Source organism: Homo sapiens, chromosome 5 (genome assembly GCF_000001405.40).
Source record: "Homo sapiens chromosome 5, GRCh38.p14 Primary Assembly".
Classification (NCBI taxonomy): domain Eukaryota; kingdom Metazoa; phylum Chordata; class Mammalia; order Primates; family Hominidae; genus Homo; species Homo sapiens.
In genome coordinates this window covers 76,122,371-76,143,129 of record NC_000005.10, presented here as the reverse complement: position 1 = coordinate 76,143,129, position 20,759 = coordinate 76,122,371, and the positions used below count along the sequence as shown (strand labels likewise).

At 39.0% G+C, this 20,759-nt stretch overlaps 1 protein-coding gene across 5 annotated transcripts in view; it reads right to left on the bottom strand.

Moving 5' to 3' along the window:
- Positions 1 to 20,759, bottom strand: part of SV2C (synaptic vesicle glycoprotein 2C) — a 506,476-nt gene that overhangs the window by 210,810 nt on the left and 274,907 nt on the right. For all 5 annotated transcript variants that reach the window (XM_011543282.4, NM_001297716.2, NM_014979.4 and 2 more), the window contains exon 2: positions 10,800 to 11,480. In XM_011543282.4, the coding sequence (XP_011541584.2) occupies positions 10,800 to 11,379 (580 nt within the window). In that variant the 5' untranslated portion in view covers positions 11,380 to 11,480. The remainder of the gene's footprint in view (positions 1 to 10,799; positions 11,481 to 20,759) is intronic.

Sequence of the window (20,759 nt, the reverse complement as noted above, 5' to 3'; positions counted from 1 at the left end):
GAGGTCAGGATATCGAGACCATCCTGGCCAACATGGTGAAACCCCATTCTACTAAAAATACAAAAATTAGCCGGGTGTGGTGGCAGGTGCCTGTAACCCCAGCTACTTGGGAGGCTGAGGCAGGAGAATTGCTTGAACCAGGGAGTCAGAGGTTGCAGTAGTGAGCCGAGATTGCACCACTGCACTCTAGCCTGGCAACAGAGCAAGACTCCGTCTCAAAAAAAAAGGAAAAGAAAAAGTTGAAGAGATACCATATTTGGAGAATATGCAAAGGACTTCCTAGTCAGCCTTGACTGTTCCCTGGGCCTGTGTTGTCTGGCATTTCCAAAATTATTGAATATTTGCCATATTATTTTCTTCTTTCAGTATTACTTATGTTAATGTTTTTAAAAAAGAAATTAAAATATCATATACTCTTTAGTAACTTTCACTCCTGCTTTGGGGAAAACATGCCAACTAAATGTCCCAAACAAAAGAGTAATTTTAATAATGACATTAATTGGAGCATTATTTTCATATAATAAGCAAAGGACTGGATACATTCAAATGCTCAGTAACAGATGGCTAAGCAAGGGACTGGAACAGTGAATTATGAATGACCATATACTCACTGATGCCCACAACACACTGTATTGATTCTCCAAAATCTTTATGTGAAATAATGTGAAGTTAGCAAAGATGAACTAATCTGTATTTACATAATTGCAGTTATGACTATAAGCACATTAAACAGAATCAAGACAGAGAGATGTGAAAATAATTTAAAGATCATTAAATTCTATTTTTAAGCAAATTCCTTACAGTAAAAAAATTTTTAATTGGAAAAACTCATTGTTTCCTCATCATTTTCAATTTGATTAGAGACCTCAATTTTGAAATTAAAGGTAAGAACTACACTCATTTACTTCTTTTACTTTTTCTCTCACAATCTTACAGGCCAAAAAGAAATTTCTAAATTTAGGGTAAAAATGTTGGTTTGCAAATATGTGTGTTAGAAATACTTAATCAGTAATTTATCAGACTAATTCGTTAAGATGAATCTGATGAACAGTTTCTTACACTGAAGTGTTCAGCAGTAATCTCAGGCCATTTAAAGGCCCTTGCTCTTGTTTATGTGAGAATACTTGGATGTTAGATTTCACATGAAAGGGTGCAACTGCATACTGATAATCTGAAATCAAACCTATGAGTCTGTATTATTATATTTGGCTTGATCCAATTGTTAGATAATTAACAATTCAACTGCCTTATTTATTTTTAATTTTTTAATATTTTAAATTTTACTTTTTTTTTTTTTTTTTTTTTTGAGATGGACTTTTGCTCTGTCACCCAGGCTGGAGTGCAGTGGCGTGATCTTGGCTCACTGCAGCCTCCACCTCCCAGGTTCAAGCCATTCTCCTGCCTCAGCCTCCTGAGTAGCTGGGACTACAGGCACATACCACCACGCCTGGCTAATTTTTGTATTTTTAGTAGAGATGGGGTTTCACCATGTTGGCCAGGCTGGTCTTGAGCTCCTGACCTCAAGTGATCCACCTGCCTTGGCCTCCCAAAGGGCTGGGATTACAGGTGTGAGCCACCGCGCCTGGCTTCAATTGCCTTATTTAAAGTGAAGTCCACATGAACAAATTCTCCAACCTGAAATACATCGGCAAGTTCTCCAGTGACTTTAGGTAGAGTCTCAGACTGGATCAATGTATGTAAGGCCAGTGCTCTCAGCGTTAGTGAGGATTCCTATCAGAATCCTCATCCTAGAGTGTTCTAGGATATAGGGATACAATGATTCAGAGTGTAGAAATAGAGAAATCTGCCTTCAGGTTCAGAGCTGTATTATGGAAAACCCTCAGTGACCTTCAGGGTGGCAGAAGGATATTTTCCTATCAAATTCTCACCGTCTTAGAATGCTACTTATTGGCAAGTTTCAGGAATGAGGCAGAGAGTTTCTGTTCATTTCCTGTCCTGTGAAAGTGAACCCGACTCTTTGGATGGAAGAGTCTTTTCAGGCTGCTCAGTCCACCTCCACTCGGATGTCAGAAGCCTCTCTCCTCCCAGGAGAATTTGAAAGGCAAGAGGAAATAAGATCCAGGACCATAATGGCGATAAATTATTGAATCTTCTTTTCCAATTTTGCAATAATGAATCCAAATAAGATTTTGCTAGTGTTGGTAGACAGGATGTGCTCTATGAGCCAATAACTTTTTAACTCCAATTAGGATCACTGTGATGCCTGAGAGGCTAAACAGAGACAGAGGGTGCATACACAACAAAGAATAAAGTTCCATGAGAGGTACCCACATAGATGCTGAGGACAAAGAGATCAAGCAGGGTATAGAGCTGCTGATCCTAAAGTCTGCAGTGTACACTTGTAGGGAAAAAAAGTTATGGGTCTTAAAATTTAGGCCACACTCAGATGCCAAATCATCACAAATTTGGAATAAAGCTAAAAGAGGAAAAACTCTGTGTCCCTCTATGTCATCAGCTTGGATATGCTGGTCTACCTGGCAGCACTGAGCAGGGGTTAGACACACTCTAAAAAGATTGGTTCAATGCACCGTGAGCCAGTCACTATACTCCACCTGCAGTCTAGTGGAAAATAAGAGTCTATGAAACTAGCAAAGGGGAATCTTAGAAACTTGAAGCTGTTGTTTTCAGACCCAGCTATCTCTCAATAAAGCAGCTAGAAATCCCAACAGAATATTTATCCTTTTGTTAATCCCTAAAGGAATAAGGGTTTCAGGTCATATCTATCCAGCTCTTCTCTCAAAGAAACTACCCTTCCTAGAAGGTCAAACAAAGCAAAGGGGCATGGGAGGAATGAATTCTGTATATTTCAAGGAATTCCAGCATCCAAGTAAAAACTACAGAAAGAGAAGCTGAAAACATGCTCAAGATCTACCAGAGATATTTTCTGTTTTATTACTATTATATTTCTAGAGTCCAAATAGTGCTTGTCACATAGTAGATGCTCAATAAATTTTGGTTGAGTGAACACTCTAGCTATCAATGGAAGATATAGGAATGCCAAGTAGTCTGACTTGGTACAGTTGAAAGGAAAGTTTTAAGTAAAACAAAAACAACTACTCCATTTCTATCCAAAAATATATCCCAGATTTGTAAATATCTATATTTATTCTAGAATTATTTAGAAATATTTTAAAAACTTTCAAGAGCTTCTACGGAGCTTGCAGTGAGCCGAGATTGCGCCACTGCAGTCCGCAGTCCGGCCTGGGCGACAGAGTGAGACTCTGTCTCAAAAAAAAAAAAAAAAAAAAAAAATACTTTCAAGAGCTTCTAAAAATGGAAAAAAGTCAAGTAAAATTCCAGTTATATGTAAAAGTATTGTCTTTTTAATGCTTTGATATTATTGGTCTAGCTCTGTTTTCGTCCAGTATACCAATTGACTCTAGCTAATATTGCAGATGTTTTAAAGAAAACCTAGTATCTATGAAGTTGGAATATTTCTCCAGGAAACTAGGTGAACACCCAAGTAGGTCTCCCAGGATGCAAGACTGGTTTGGACCTCAGTCTTATATGTTCAGAAACCCGATATGTCAGCACACTAAAGACAGATCTATCTCTTAGAAGCAGTCTCCCAATGGTCAACCTCACCACGACTGATAGAAAAAAACAGAATGCCAGTTGGCCAATTAAAATGAAAAACAGGACTCCCAAGAAAACTGGCAATCTTTGGCCAGCATATTTCTGATGGGCAAGCTCTAGAGAAAGCTGAATTTGAAATCCTTAAGTTGCTTTGGAACATGTAATGAGAATGAGAGGTCTTAGCTACAGCATTCGTGTCTTCACAAATCCCAGGCCAAGGATGTCTAATGCATCTTTCCCTACAATAGAGATACATGTGGCCCCTAGATAGATAGGCTAAATCTTTAGGTCAGGGCACCTCAACCCTGAGCACTATTTGGAGGGGCACTGCCAACATCTGCATCTATGACTTTCTCTTTGGTATTCCTCCTCTACTGAGTTTCAATTCAAAATAATACATTCTTTTTTTTTTTTGAGATGGAGTCTCGCTCCATCGCCCAGGCTGGAGTGCAGTGGCACAATCTCAGCTCACTGCAACCTCTGCCTCCCGGGTTCATGCCATTCTCCTGCCTCAGCCTCCTGAGTAGCTGGGACTACAGGCACCCGCTACCACACCCGACTAATTTTTTTGGATTTTTAGTAGAGATGGGGTTTCACTGTGTTAGTCAGGATGGTCTAAATCTCCTGACTTCGTGATCTGCCTGCCTCAGCCTCCCAAAGTGCTGGGATTACAGGCGTGAGCCGCTGTGCCCGGCCCAAAATAGTACATTCTTATTTTAGATATGTTCATATCTTGAGTTAGTTCTCAAAGTGTTAAAGATCTCAGAGACTGTCATTCATTCATTCAACAAATATTTGTTGAGATCCTATTATGTACCACACACTGATCTGGGCAGGAGGATACAGTAGGGAACAACAGACAAAATCCCTGGTTCCCATGAGGCTTACATTCCCTTTCTTTATTTTTTCTGTCACTCTGCCTCTTTAAGATGACTTTGCACTATGGGCTAATTTGATAGGTTAATTCTCTGAGGCAATCAAATTTCTCATTTGTGACCATATATTTGCCATTATGTACTGTTTATAATTACAAAAAACAGGTGATATCTTCTATTAAGGTTTTTGAAAAGTTCAACAGGTGATTACTCTGTTGGACTTCACAAGCAAAAAGTGAATTTCCAGATCATCTTTCTCTTGCTTGACATACCAGAGTGGTGTATTTTCACCAAGAATGGAGAGCCTTGTGTTCTTCTCAGGGTTATCCCCATTGAAAGTGCTTTAAATGAAAACGTGAGGGAACTGGAAAGGAACATAGGACTAAGAGTTGGTATATGTGTTCCAGAGTCTGCCTCAGCTAATACCCAGCTACAGATCAGGCAAGCCAACCGAGCTCTCTAGGTCTCCTATCTTCATCTTTAAAATGACAGGGTTTGCCTAAATCACAAAGGAAACAACAGCTGGGAAATATTATGATTCCCGCTGGTAATAGGAGCCAAACCTTATCCATCTCAATCTCTCTTTCAGGGCCTTGGGCCATGACCCACACATCCTGGCTACTTCATAACACCACTTCATCAAACACTGAACCTGTAACACTAGTGTGACAGCTGAAGTCACTGATATTCCAGATAAGATATTAAAATTTTTTTGTTGTTTAGCTATGGAATCCTTTCTCACCTAAATGGATGAATCTGAGTCTGCTCTGATGAAGAAGAGGAAAGGGATGCCAGAAGGGGTCCTGTCAACCCTCCTCCCCACTCCCACTCCAGCTTCAAAGAGGGCTCTGTAGAACAAGCACATCTAATTGGCATGTCTAGAGAAGCACATAGACCAAATTTTAAACATGGCTACTGGTTCTGAAGGGAAACAGGAGATTTAAGAGGATTGTAATATGATTTTTTTAATTAAAAAATACAAAAGTGTCATGCAGAGGAATTTACTTCTGGCTGTTAGTTATTTTGGGGCCGAAAGACTCTCTAACCCCTTGCTAAGCTGTCTGATACCTTCATTAGTCATTGTCCGCCTCCTGTTTAGCTGTGTTCTCTGGTTAAACCTCCCTTTTCAGAATCTCACATCTGCCATTCTGGTCCTGACCTCTTCTACCTACCAGACTAACACCCTCCAAAATGAACTTCATCAGCCTCCCCATCTGCTCTGCCTTCCCTGTACCTGCCCAATGCCTTGGCTATCATCCTCAACTACCTGCTTATCTTTCTCATTCACCAAATTTTTCCATTTCTCTTCCAGAAATGCTTCCGATTCTGACACCTCTGTCACCCTATTAACTGATACAGTTAGGGATTTCTTCATGTTTTGCCTGGGCTATTGCATTAGCCTCCTAACTGATATTCACCCTTCTATTAATTATTATAGCAGCTATCATTTATTAGTGTTTGCTATATATTCAATGCTTTGCTAAGAGTTATACATATATTATCTCATTCAATCCTCCCAATCTAATTGGGTATTCTTATTGCCAACGTACAGCTATGAAAACCGAGGCACAGAGAAATTTAAATTACTTGCAAATGGTCACACAAGTAAGTGGCTTAAAGTCTATTTGACATTTTAAGTCTCTCTCCCATCTCATTCTCTCTCCACACTGCTGCCAGAGGCAGCTTTCTAAAACACAGGTCTAATGATTTCATGATAAAGTCCAAACCCCTATCTTGGCATTAAGGTCTTCACAATATATCCACAATGTGACCTGTCAGCTCCAACACTACTACGCCTACCACAGATAAGTTCACATAATTGCCTACCAAGTCCAGGCTATTGGGCAATTATAACATCTTCCCGAAGTGCCATCCTTCCTTTTATCTGCCCGGTAAACTCTTGTCCAGCTCTCAAAACCCTGTTTATATTTTTTATTTTAAGTTCTGGGATACATGTGCAGAATGTGAAGGTTTGTTACATAGGTATACACGTGCCATGGTTCAAAACTCTGTTTAAATGTCAATTCCTAGATGAGTTTTCATCAGTTTCCAAAGGTAAGCCTGGTAGTTCCCTCTTCTGCAATCCTATAGCATTTTATTCAGTATCTTTGTCACAGAAAAAAAAAAACATAAAGCACTAAAATTTATCACAAGTGTATTTGTCACATTGTAACAACAAAAAAAAAGTTCCTGAATGACACAGATCACAATATACTAATCAGAATATCCTCTCAATGTACTTTGCCAGGTACCTGGCTCAGAGTTGGTACTCAATTAATGCTTATCAAATGAAATGTTCTTGCTGTCTCCATTTTTCTCAACAACATTCATGTTTCTTCCCAAAGCAATCTGGCCCTGTCTCAATTATGCTGCTAAAACTCCTGTCCTGAAAACTACCAATGCATACGGGAATTAGGGGTAGCAGTTGATATTTGCCTTGAAAAGGATAAAAGAAGCACAGGATGTTTCACTATTAATTAGCTCAGGTTTAGTTATAAAAGTACATTTGGGGTTAGAATATGTTGCTTTGCATCTATTTTGTATTAGTCAACACCTGGCTGTGATAATATTTTAGTTCCTAAATATCACTCATCTTTGTAACCCTCAGCAATAAAGCAGTTGAACCAATAATGATCATTTTCTCTGCTTCACTGGATGGGTCTTAGGAGGAAATAAGCCAGTGAGTGGGAGGCCAGCCCCTCTGATGCAAGGGAAGAGGTGCCAGCACGCTGCTTGTTCTGCCCTAATGGACTAGAGTCGGGGTAGGGCTGAGCTGAAAATGGCTGCACATCTTTCCTGCCTAGGGGTAATCTTAGAACCATACCTGCCCCCCTCAACAACCACTGAACAGAAGCTAAGTCAGAGGGCTCACTTCCACAGAATCCACTCTGAGTCACAGCAAATGGGAAGGGAGAATGCCTGATGTCCTGGAAAAGCCTGCCTTGTGACCAGGGGCTGGAAATCAGCAGGACACATTTTCACTTCATTCAATAAGAAGTCTTAAAAACTTACTAGTCTGGCTCATTGTGTTTATTGTGCTCACTGTGTTCATCTTAAGAGATGTCTGCAGCAGCCAATAACTCTTAATTGCCAGCCTCTACTGCAAGACTGCGGCGCCTGAAAGCTATACATCCCTTCCTTCTTCCAGCAAGTTCCAGACCTCCCCTTTCTCCTGGCTGCTCCTTTCTCTGGCTTCTCCTCTACCTCCTTAATGATTCCTCCTCCACCACCAGCCCCATAAATAGTATTCAGCGGGAAACCATTCTCTCCCTCATTAAGGTCATTGGCAGTGTTGTCTTAAACAAGATGACTTCCAAATCTCTGGGCATTTCAGCTCAAATGGGGAATAGCCCATTGGCACTCCTCTTTGATTGTCCCCAAGGACCTCAAAATGAGAGGGTCTCAAACTAAACATTTTCATCTTTCTCCATCCTGCTAAAATCTATATTCTGCCTTACCTAATTTAATGAACTGCCATTCTTTCATTAATTGGTCCCCTCCTCCCCACTCGAAGCTAATCAATGAGCAAATCCTTGCTGACTCTACCTCTGGAGTAGCTCTGAAATCCATTCCTTCTCTCCACTGCTTTAGTCAGGGCCTTACCCTGTAACATGTTCTCCCTGCTCGAAGTCTCTTTATTTACACTTGTCTTATGGCTACTGACACTTGGTATCTAGACTGGTAATCTACTCATTTGTGATTTCTCCATTACTAGACTATAACTTCCTTGGATAGAGAAACCTTGCCTCTCTTTTTTGTCCTATTATCCTTGTGACAATACTGTGCTTTACACACAGTAAGTGCTTAATAAATAGACTTTGGCAATAGAGAACAGATTATCTTAAAGTGACTGCCCTTGTTCTTCCAAAGAGCAGATCATTAGATAATTAAATATTTACTCTAACTTCTTCTGGCCCAATTAACAATGTTATATATACACACAGACTATATACACAGATACAGGCATACACTGTATGCCCTTAGATACCTTTAAGTCAATCTTTTAGCAAACACAAAGAGAGGCTCAATCTCCCAAATAATTAAAACATAAATTGGGCCATATTTTTGTTCCTGGTCTTCCTTGAGGAAAATGACACAATGCTTAGTAGCAAATGAGAAATTATTTTGCAAATCTATATCCTCAAAATGCCACCAAACATGGGTCATGCATCCTGCTTTCTTGCATTTTGATCCTATTGCTATGACTTAGTGTGGTAATTATATTACAAAGCTATTATTCGATGAAATGAAAATGGCAAAACAATTTAAATGCTTGTCTAAAAAGACTCTGTTAGAATGCAATTATGAGTGAAATTACAATGGCAAAATAATTGAAATGCAAGTCTGGAAGGCACAGTTATGAAAGCATTAAAATGCTCCTGTTGGGGACTCACAACACTGAGTGAAACTATACACTCCTGGGGACATATTTTTAATTCACTAAAGCAGGCAACATTTATGGGCAGATGAGAATATCTGTGCTCCAATTGTTCTGCAGCATTATCTACACTTCTAAATGCCACCTGGGGGTGGGTAACATCACCAGGGTTTCTGGGTTTGGAGGATAGTTTGATAAGAGAACCGTATGTCATACTGTGCTTTCATACAGCACCAGGAAGATAAAGGCATAGGGCAAGTTTGGCTTAGATTTTTCTGTAGTCTTTCCAGTATAAATGGTGGGACCATAACATTAAAATATTTTTTATTCTAAATTTAAGCTGGCAATTATTAAATATTTGTGTGAGTATATTTCTCAGGGTCTATCTTCTTTACACATTCTGCTGACATATTCCTTTAGCAAAATCTGAATACATATTTTGATGTCTAGGCTTACAGTTGGATATACTTGCTCACCAAAAGAAAAAAAACAAAAATGATATACAGTGCTAGATACAAAACCAGTCTGCTGAGATGATCAATTTGACAAATGACCAAGGACCCTCCTCTGAAGCGTGGTGATGTCTGCATTTGATAGTGGAACACACAAATGAGTGTACCAGCAAAATATGCACAATATGCTCCTGACTCCCACCCCTTCAACCTACACAATCTACTTTCATGGATCCATTTATTTTAGCTAAGCATAAAGAAACAAATACTAGGAGTGGGTCATATAAAAGAAACAAGTGTTAAAGGAATAAAAAGATGTATATCATTTTCTCATTCATGAGTATCTCTCTTGTGTTGTCACAGAACAAATTAGGATATAGCATTTAATTTTAATCACCCAGGAAATTTCTCAGCCTCAATGATAATAACATTACTTAATAAAGTTACTAGTTTTCAAGAATTGTATACTTTTGTTTTTGAAGCTTTAGTTTTAAAGAAGTCCCTTGGAAACATAGATACTAAGTATTCTTTCTTTCATAGACTCTGAAACACATAAAGATTTAACATGCACATAAACGTGTTCTCTGAGGCAGGATTTGCAAAAGCAGTTTGGAAATCCTCCTGATTTTATATACCAGGTGTTTGCTGTGGATCCTTAAACTGCTGAGGGGAGAGTTCACTGCATGCTTGCTTCTTACCTACTTATTTTCCCTTGCACAAACTCGGAGAGTGTTAACTATAGCTTTGTAAAAATATAAACCTGAGTCCATGGTAACTTCAAAACAAAAATCAAATCTGCTGTATAGATATTTTATAGAGAGGTTATATTATTTTTAACACACATTTAAATATTTATATATTTAAAATAATATAAAGAAATGAAGTTTTTCTAGTTTGGGCACAAAGTTACACAGCTTGAAAAAGATTAAAAATCACCTATAGAAAATTATACGAATAAGGCTAGTTGAAAATCTAAGCAAACATACACATAGATAATAGAAAAAATTAAAGTTATCAGGGTCCTAAAATATTTAAACTACTGTATTACACATAAAAATTGACATTTGAAATCACAATTGTCAGAGTTTTACAGAACTAATCTCTGTATTTAGAAAAGTGTTAAATATAACAGCATTATTAACTTCCAAGAGAGTAGCTTTGGAATTTAATAAAGGAGAAACCAATGCAACTATGATAAAAATATAAGTTAAAACATACTCTAACTTACTTTGAAATGCATAAAAATAAATTGGGTTGATGGAGAGATGATAAAGAAAATATAGTAAATGTTAACTACAGAATCTAGGTGGTGGGTATACACAGGTGTTCACTGTACAATTATTTTGATTCTTTTGTATGCTTAAAGTTTTTTGTAATAAAAAATTTGTTAGAAAAAATGCAGTACTCTAGATGAAAAGTATTTATTCTCTATGTTGATAACTGTGCTTAACAAATAAGCCAGTTTCAGAGTTGGCCTCACTGACACCACACACTCACCTAGCCATCCAGATCCTGAATTTGGGATGCAGAGGTCTGTCTCAGCACTGGGTAACACGAAGCCAACGACAAACACCTCTACACCGTCTGCCATAAGAGCCATGCCCAGGACGAAGAAAAGGGCCCACTGAAAACGACCATGACCGCATTCTTGGATTATCAGCTCATACTGCTGGGCTAACTCTTCCTCGTCAGCTCTCCTTTCTGATTCCAGCTCCCGCCGGTCCTTGTACTCATCGCCCTTGGGCTGCCCCACTGACACGATGCTGTCCTTCGCTTGGTTCATACTGGGGATGCCCTGATACTCCCCCTCATAGATCTCATCATCTTCATCATGCCCCTCAGTGGCTTCACTTGAGCCTTCGTCATCGTTGGCCTCACCATTATAGGTTTCTCCAGCCGGGTAGTAGTCATCATCATCTTCTTCATCTTGGAACCGACTGTAGGACCTCTGGGTGTATTCATCCTGGGCTCGGTCCACAGCTTGATTCACCTTCTTTACTGTTTGTTTCTTCACCTCTCTGGCAATGTCCTTGGCACCCTTCATCAGTGAAGTCCTATCCTTGTAAGAGTCTTCCATCTTATCTCAACTGATGGCCAATGAGAAGATGGGAAATTTTCACAGCCTCCTTTCAGTGGTTCAGCTCTGACAGCATCATCCACTTTGGGTTCAAAACAGAACTGCGAAAGAAGAAATAGAGGAGATACTTATTATTCCTTTCTATATATATATTTTTTACCGTCTATTTCTTGACCTCTTTTCAGTGTCCCACAAACTACAACACAGAATTAGTTTTTCCTTTTTTTTTTTTTTTTGATCTCACTGTATATACATGTACACCCTAGGCTGCTTCTCTGCTTAAGTGTGAGCATCACTTGGAGTATTTAGGGTTTTCGCTGCTATTATTATTGTTTTATTTTAAGGAATTCTATCCCCAGGGTAACAGTACACAGGAATTCCCCTGAGAATAAAACAGAGCATCTTGCATCTTTAAAAGCACGCCCAACACATTTTGAAATGCTACAAGCATATACCTTGATTGAGAAAAATAGTATTGCTCACAGACACGTACAAATATTGCAAAGACAAACCAGAGTATTAGAAGAATCCTACTGGGCCTATTTCCTCACACTGAAAAGCAAGCAGCCCCATATACAATTGCTATCAATCAAACTATAGCTATATTTGTAAAATTGAATTTCTCCCCTACTTAACATTGTGTTTCCTTCCAACAAATGGTAACAGAGACTCACATGGCACCCCAAACTGGCAAGGAGTATATTCCCATAGCATAGTGTCATATCCACAGGATTGTCAGAGTTCATCAAATGATTTTATGGCTGCATTTGATATTGAATTAGAACATATGGCTTGTTTGGTGGGAGTCTGCCCTTTCAGAAACTACCCCCAGGCCTTCAGGGACAGGTAAGCTCCATGCCATGTCCCTTCACAACCCCACTTCTATTTTCTTCATCTCTGGATACCCAGTACGCACACACACTCTCTCTCTCTCCCTCTCTCCCTCTCACATCCTCCCACCTGCCACTCTGGTTAGCTGCTGTTTTGGTAGTAAAGTCTGGACCTTCCAGGACCTGTTATTTGGTTTTCTTTTTCACTGATAGTCCCCTCATGCCTTGGTTCCTTAAATTCAGGCTGACCTCAAGGTAACTTATATTCCATTTGTCCACTCAGCTGCCTCTTCTGGTGGCTCATGTGAGTCACTGACAGGTTCATCCTTGTACACAGATGATAACAGAGGTTAAAAAAGTCTTTCTCCCCCATCATTAACTCCCCAAGCCTTAAGCTATGGCAGCATTCCAAACATTGATTTATATAATCGTCATTTCTACTTTTTCATTTTGTAGCTAGTTTAAAATATTTAAAGTAGCTATTACTAACATACATTTAATTACTCCTCCAAATGCCACAAACAAACCCAGCAATAAAGACAAACAGATGTTTGTTTATAAATGGACCATGCTTCATTCCCACTGAATACCTACAAATGCCCAGTAGGCAAAACAGGAGTATGGTTCTCACAGGCTGCGTTTTGGAAAATGATAAAATGAAATTAAAATAAACATATGATTGCAAGGTTTTTAACCAAATGTTTTAGTAAATGATTTTTCTGTTTGTTCTCCCCCAGCTCTTTTTTTTTTTTTTTTTTTTTTTTTTTTTTTTTTTAAGAACTGAGAGGAAGAGAAAGGGAGGAAGAGAGACATGGGAAAATCCATGAGAACAGTAAGAAAAAATGGAAAGGTGGTGAGAAGGGAGGCTGAGGATGGGGTGCTCAGAAACTCAAGAAGTCAGGGAAAAGGGGCAGAGAGGACAATGATGAAGTTGAGAGACATTTCCTACTTTAAAAATTAACAGAAAATCTGAATATTTCACACAATAAATAAAATAAACTGCCATCCTATCCATTGAACGGATGACCACATCAGACACTGCATATCAGCTGCTTCCTGTACATAATCAGCTCCAGAAATACCATTAAGTGAGCTCCAAATTCTGGTTAGTTGAAAGCAGAGTCTGAATGACCCTACAGCACTACCCCAGTGCCTTTCATAATGGAAAGCTTCTGCCATAGCTGTTTCCAAGAAATTGTATATCAACTGACTGCATTTGGCTTTTTTGCTTTTGTCCTCAGCCACAGGTATCCTTACCACATGCTTTACAGGGTTTTCATCCCTAAAGAGGTCCTTGTATAGGAGCCACCTCTGTAAGAGGCAAGAGGTATGATATCTTAAATGTCATAGTTATGGCTGGAAAAGTGGACAGTTCTAATCCCCTAAGTAGTCTAAGCACTTGAGCAATGAGAAATAAAATAAAACAAGAATTTTACAATTAAACATTCCAATTTTGAAAAAATTCTTGCAGAAATCTTAGTTTTAATTCCAGGACAAAACAAAGGATGTGCACATATAAGTTCTCTTTTTGTCTTTCAAGATTTCTCATCCCCCAAATCGAAGCTCAGGTAAGTTCCTTGAGGGAAGAGACTTGTTCTTTAGTTTGTAGTCTTACTAAAGCAAAGAAGATTTTTCTGTGCCCTTTCATAAACAAGAAATATGAATACTTATTCAAAAATGCTATATAAAATTAGATGTTTGTAGATATTGCCATTGGGGTTAGCTGGTGAAGGGTACAGGGGTCTCTCTGAATCATTCCTTACAACTGCATGTGAATCTACAGTGATTTCAAAATACGGAGTTAAACCAAAACCCCAAGTTTGTACTATCCTTATAAAGCCATCTTGGAATATGTGCAGGATGATTGGCTGGGGGCAGACTGTTCAGGGGCAGAGTTATAATTCTATGGCTATTATCTCCCTCTGGTAAATGGAAAAATGTGAAGAGCTTGGCTCATTCCAGATATTGCCAGGAAAATGGCAGATTTGTATCTACATGGGAAGGTTATGCTTGAATTAAAGCAGCACTTCTCAAGGGTGGGGCTTACACACCGGGTGTGGCCTATAAGAAGGTCCGCAAGCAGCTGTTTATAGCATCATCAATATTTTCTTTTGTTTCTCGAATCGATTATGGAGTTATGCCACATAATATATGTCAGACTTTGTTTCAATGAAAAACAAAACAAACCACCTTGATTTGGTGCTTACTATATGTCAGGCATTGTGCTAAAAACTTCCTGTACATTGTTTTATTCTTTTATTTAATCTTTACTTCAATCCTACAAAATAGACATTATAGTCTTCCATTTTACAGATGAAAAATTAAGGCTTAGAGAGATTAGCCCAAAGTCACAAAGCTTGTTAGAGGAGATGCCGGACTCAAGCTCAAATGTGTCTGACCCCAAAGCCTTACCCCTTATCTTCATCTGCCTCACCCAGTGGTCTCACTGAGGTCTTATTAAATGCAGTGGCCTTCTTCCTAGTCATTCCAGTATTCCAGTAACTTTTTTTCCTACACTAAAATTGTTTTATAACCGCTTCTCTAAATTGTCTTCTACATTCTGAAGTAAAGAGAATTGTTGTGAGACCTTTAATCAGTGACGAGCTTTATATGGGTAATAATTTTAAAATGTGGTCTTGTTTGTTCCAATAAACTACCCTAGGATGGTGGCTGTACTTCAAAAGATAATGTAACCCTGTTAAATAAGACATCAGTGGGCCAGGACGGCAGGAAAGTAGGCAAAGCAATGAAACTCTAACAATCTCTAAGTACATGATGCTCCTCGTTTACTCAAGTCAGTTTCCTTCTCCACGAAATAAGGGTAATAATAACCACCTTCCAGTGTTGTGAGAATTAAATGAGTTGTTTACCCCGGTTTTAGGACAGAATCTGACATATATTCAGTGGTTTCAATTCAGTTTCCCCAGGAACAGACCTAGCCATAAGGAGTCAGCTGCAAATCATTTATTAAAGAGTAAGGGAGTCAGGGAGCAGGGCGGGAGGGAGCGATGGAAGCAGGGCGGCAATTTTAGGTATTCTACCGTGGAGCAAGCTTCAGGAGGAACTCTGGAGTATAAATTATGCCTCGGAATTTTTCCCCACTCGGGCAAAGGTGCTAGGCTTTCATAACCCCATGCCAACTGTTGGCTGAGGGGTCCTGGGGGCAATGGTGGAATGTAGGAGCTTCCTGTTCTCCGCACCAAAAGGCAAGGCAGTTCCACTAGCCTGAAGGCAATCCTCTGAAGGTGCTGGCCGAGGAAGGCAAAGGCACACTGAAGCCAAGTGGGGAGAGCACAGAGATGATGAAAGGGGTCCAGGGACCCAGGGCATTAGCAGTATCTCCTGTAAAACCACTTGATAAATATTTGTTTAGATGCCCTACTCATCATGCTAAGCTGCAGGATACATAGCCGATTGAAACTGCATTTATAGAAGCGGCTGTTAAACCAAACAACGTTCACAGCGAAGTGAATCTGATATAGTCAATGACATGCACAATCATTGTGTGTGATATTTTGCACAAATATGTAAAATATAAAGAATAATTATACACACGGGCATTATTCTGGCAAAACACAGTTTTTCTTCTTTTTGCTCCTTTGATGGTTCATGACAAACACACATATCCAATACCACTACATACTATTTTAAAACTTTCCTACACAAGCTCCCACCCTACACAACCCCCAACACACAGATGTTTCTCTTGGTGTTTCCCCACACCGCCCAAACATGCAGTCTTCCCTTTGCTTTACTCCTCATCACCACCATCAATCAAAAGATCTTGGATAGCTCCGCCTCCCCCAAATGTTCTAGAATCTTCTGGATGCTGGGAGAGTCCATTCTTCTAACAATTGTATTTATGCAGCTTTAAAACCATTGTGCCCTGATAGAGTAATGATAGCAATAATAATGGCTAATCCGTTATTATGTCAGCCATGTGCCACGCACTTCAGATGCATTATCACACAATAATGCTCACAAACATTGTATGGGGTAGGTACTTTTAAAAATGCCCACTTCACAGATAAGAAAACTGAAACCTGGCCAGTAACAATGCGACCCTATGCAATGCTACTCCAGAGCCCAACCACATACCCACTACATCTGCCACGTTTTTGTGGAAATGGGAGCCTGTGATGGAAACAGGGATCTGAAACAGCATGGGTGTGTAGAAGGCAGCCCCCATGCCAGCAGACTCGGGCTCTTCTAAAGTACTTGCAGATATGTAGTGTGCTGGGATTGGGCAGAGGGGCTCATAACATCCCTCTTCCTCTCTTAAGCTTGGATCTAGAAGAGACATTCAACACAGAAGACAAATGGTGAACTACCTGCCAGCTGACTGGACAACTGTGTCCAACTTTATCCCTGATGCCACACCTCCCTCCCAAGTCAGGCATGCTGGGCTACAAAGGACTCCTTCTGGAGTGGGGTGGGGTTGAGAGGGGAGCTTTCCAAGAAGCTTTCCGCACTGAGCACATCTTTGAGATGAAGAAATGGAAACTGACCCATCATCCCAGCCTGTCCAAATCCCTGACATTAAGTGTTTATTATTTAGAGACACCTCTTGCCCTCCAACCCTGTAAACTACCTGTATGCCTACATTCTCATTCTTTAAGGTGCAGTGCAAAAATCACGGTTCAAAAATCACTTCTTTCATGAAACGATTTCCTTTCTTTATTGCTTAGCCTAATCACATCTTGCAAGTTAAGTGTAGCTGGTTTCCTCCTGGCATTCAATCACATTTTCCATTATGCTCACCAATACATGTGATGGCCTTCCCTATTACAGTGTAACTTTCCTGAAAACAGGAAACTAGTAAAAAGGAACACCATAAAGTAATGTTATTGGGTTTTTTGTTTGTTTTTTGAGACAGGGCCTCACTCTCCCACCCAGGCAGCAGTGGCATGATCATGACTCACTGCAGCCTCAGCTTCCCAAGCTCAAGCGACCCTCCCACCTCAGCCTCCCAAGTAGCTGGGACTACAGGTGTGCACCACCATGCCAGGCTAACATTTTATTTTTTGTAGAGATGAAGTCTTTTTATGTTTCCAAGGCTGGTCTAGAACTTCTGTGCTCAAGCAGTCCTCCTACCTCAGCCTCCCAAAGTGCTGGGATTACAGGTGTGAGCCACTGCACCTGGCCTTAATGTTATTAAATGAGGACTCAAGCACCATAAGGGGTCAACTCTTAGTTCCTCCACTTTCTTTATCAGGCAGTTGTCTGGATCAGTAGTCCCCCAAGGTGCAATCTGCACCTTGTGGTCCTATAAAGTACTCTGACTTTATATGACTTTATATGCTCTCACACTTACTTCATGTGGAGTATGAGTAGGAGGGTTACAGTACAAAGCCTGTTATAAGGAACCTTGCTTAAATTTGTTACCCAATCATTTCCAAACTTTCCTAATAACAGAATTCCCCACCCTCAGCATGACACCAGTGAGCAGTTCTCATTATACATTTTATGGAAATACTGTATTAAGATGAACACTAAAATCCTTTAAATTCTAATGTCTCTATTATAAAATACCATAACACTAATTAGAATTAATTGAAAGAAGCAGGATAAAAGGCAGAAAATCTACATTAAAATAATATTTCTAAAATAAAATACAGTATTTCTTTCAAGTGTATCAAAAACTGAAACTAAGTTTTCCAAATGTAATTGCTTATGATTTTTAAACAGACTTGCTATAAAAATAGAAAGTATTTAGCATATCTGTGTATTTTTAAAGCAATAAGTCATTCAAAGAGCCTGGAAATTTTAATTTTAAGTATATTAACGTTCATTTTTATGCAATTTTGACACAGTTAATTTGCTCTATGAAGAATAGATCTCATAAACCAGGGTAAAGACCTCAGCAGTTGTCCAAATCTCTACAAACCCCAGATTAGTGAAATCTAAAGGCCTCACACAAATGGCAAACCTGTTTGCATATATAAACTTTTGTGAAGGTCCCAGAAATATCCTCAAGTGAGTCAAAGTGGGCACTATCCTTCTTTGAAGAAATACTTGAATTCAATTTAGTACAGAATCTTTCTTTCCGATTACAAAACCAAAGCATGCTTATTTTAAAAAGAACTGGACCAATGCATACCAATTTGGATGGCTACTAGCAAAAATCAACAAAAAACAAACAAAATAACAAAATAACAAGTATTGGCAAGGATATGGAGCCATGTGCACTGTTGGTGGGAATATGAAATGGTACAGCCTCTGTGAAAAATAGTGTGGCAGTTCCTAAAAACATAAAAATAGAATTACCATATAATCTAGGAATTCCACCTCTAGGTATAGACACAAAAGAATGGAGAGCAGATTTTGGAGAAGATATTTATACATCTATGATTCTAACAGTGTTATTAACAGTAGCTCAATCAAGGAAGCAACCCATTGGCCCATTGACCAATGAATGTCTAGGCAAAATGTGGTATACACAGACAATGGAATGTTATTCAGCCTTAAAAAGAAGGAAATTCTGAAACATGCTATAATATGGGTGAATCTTGAGGATACTATGCTAAATGAAATAAGCCAGCCACAAAAAGACAAATACTATATGATTCTATTTATATGAGATACTTAGACCAGTCAAAATAATAGAGACAGGATATAGAATGGTGGTTGCCAGGATCTGGGAGAAGTGGGGAATGGGGAGTTTTCATCTGATGGATACGGAGTTTCAGTTTTACAAGATGAACAGAGTGATGGAGATGAATGGTAGTGTTGGTTGCACAACATTATGAACATATTCAATAGCACTGACTGTACATTTAAAAATGGTTAAGTGGTAAATTTTATGTGATGTGTATTTTATCACAATAAAATTGGGGGAAAGTAATACTTTAAAAATCCAGGAAGTCATAAACAAGAAAATAAAAAACATTTGTATTTCTGCCACCCAGAGATGCCCACTCTTGACAATCAGCAATTTTATTTCCAATATTTAGACTATGCAGATGCATGAGCATATAATTAATTTAGACCATATCATACATTTGGAGTTGAAGTCTATTGTCTCTAACTATTTGGGAGTGAATTTTCTCATTTGTTGGGTTAGTGACTATCTCAAATAGGACAGAACTTTATCACAAGTTTAGTAATTCTTGGCTGTGAGCATATCTTCCATAGTAGTGGTTCTCAAAGTGTGGTCTGAGGATTCCCAGAAAACTCCCAAGACTATTCAAGAAATCTGTGATGTCAAAACAATTTTCCTAACAATAGAAATGTTATTTGACATGAAGCGTTGTTGAACTTTGGCCTTTTCTGCATCCATTGAGATAATCATGTGGTTTTTGTCTGTGGTTCTGTTTATATGCTGGATTACATTTATTGATTTGCATATATTGAAACAGGCTTGTATCCCAGGGATGAAGCCCACTTGATCATGGTGGATAAGCTTTTTGATGTGCTGCTGGATTCGGTTTGCCAGTATTTTATTGAGGATTTTTGCATCAATGTTCATCAAGGATATTGGTCTAAAATTCTCTTTTTTGGTTGTGTCTCTGCTAGGCTTTGGTATCAGGATGATGCTGGCCTTATCAAATGAGTTAGGGAGGATTCCCTCTTTTTCTATTGATTGGAATAGTTTCAGAAGAAATGGTGCCAGTTCCTCCTTTTACCTCTGGTAGAATTCGGCTGTGAATCCATCTGGTCCTGGACTCTTTTTGGTTGGTAAGCTATTGATTATTGCCACAATTTCAGAGCCTGTTATTGGTCTATTCAGAGATTCAACTTCTTCCTGGTTTAGTCTTGGGAGAGTGTATGTGTCGACGAATTTATCCATTTCTTCTAGATTTTCTAGATTATTTGCGTAGAGGTGTTTGTAGTATTCTCTGATGGTAGTTTGTATTTCTGTGGGATCGGTGGTGATATCCCATATCCCCTTTATCATTTTTTATTGCATCTATTTGATTCTTCTCTCTTTTTTTCTTTATTGGTCTTGCTAGCGTTCTATCAATTTTGCTGATCCTTTCAAAAAACCAGCTCCTGGATTCATTAATTTTTTGAAGGGTTTTTTTTGTATTTCCTTCAGTTCTGCTCTGATTTTAGTTATTTCTTGCCTTCTGCTAGCTTTTGAATGTGTTTGGTCTTGCTTTTCTAGTTCTTTTAATCGTGATGTTAGGGTGTCAATTTTGGATCTTTCCTCCTTTCCCTTGTGGGCATTTAGTGCTATAAATTTCCCTCTACACACTGCTTTGAATGTGTCCCAGAGATTCTGGTATGTTGTGTCTTTGTTCTCGTTGGTTTCAAAGAACATCTTTATTTCTGCCTTCATTTCGTTATGTACCCAGTAGTCAGTCAGGAGCAGGTTGTTCAGTTTCCATGTAGTTGAGCAGTTTTGAGTGAGTTTCTTATAAATTAGGTATTGATGGGATGTATCTCAAAATAATAAGAGCTATTTATGACAAACCCACAGCCAATATCATACTGAATGGGCAAAACCTGGAAGCATTCCCTTTGAAAACTGGCACAAGACAGGGATGCCCTCTCTCACCACTCCTATTCAACATAGTGTTGGAAGTTCTGGCCAGGGCAATTAGGCAG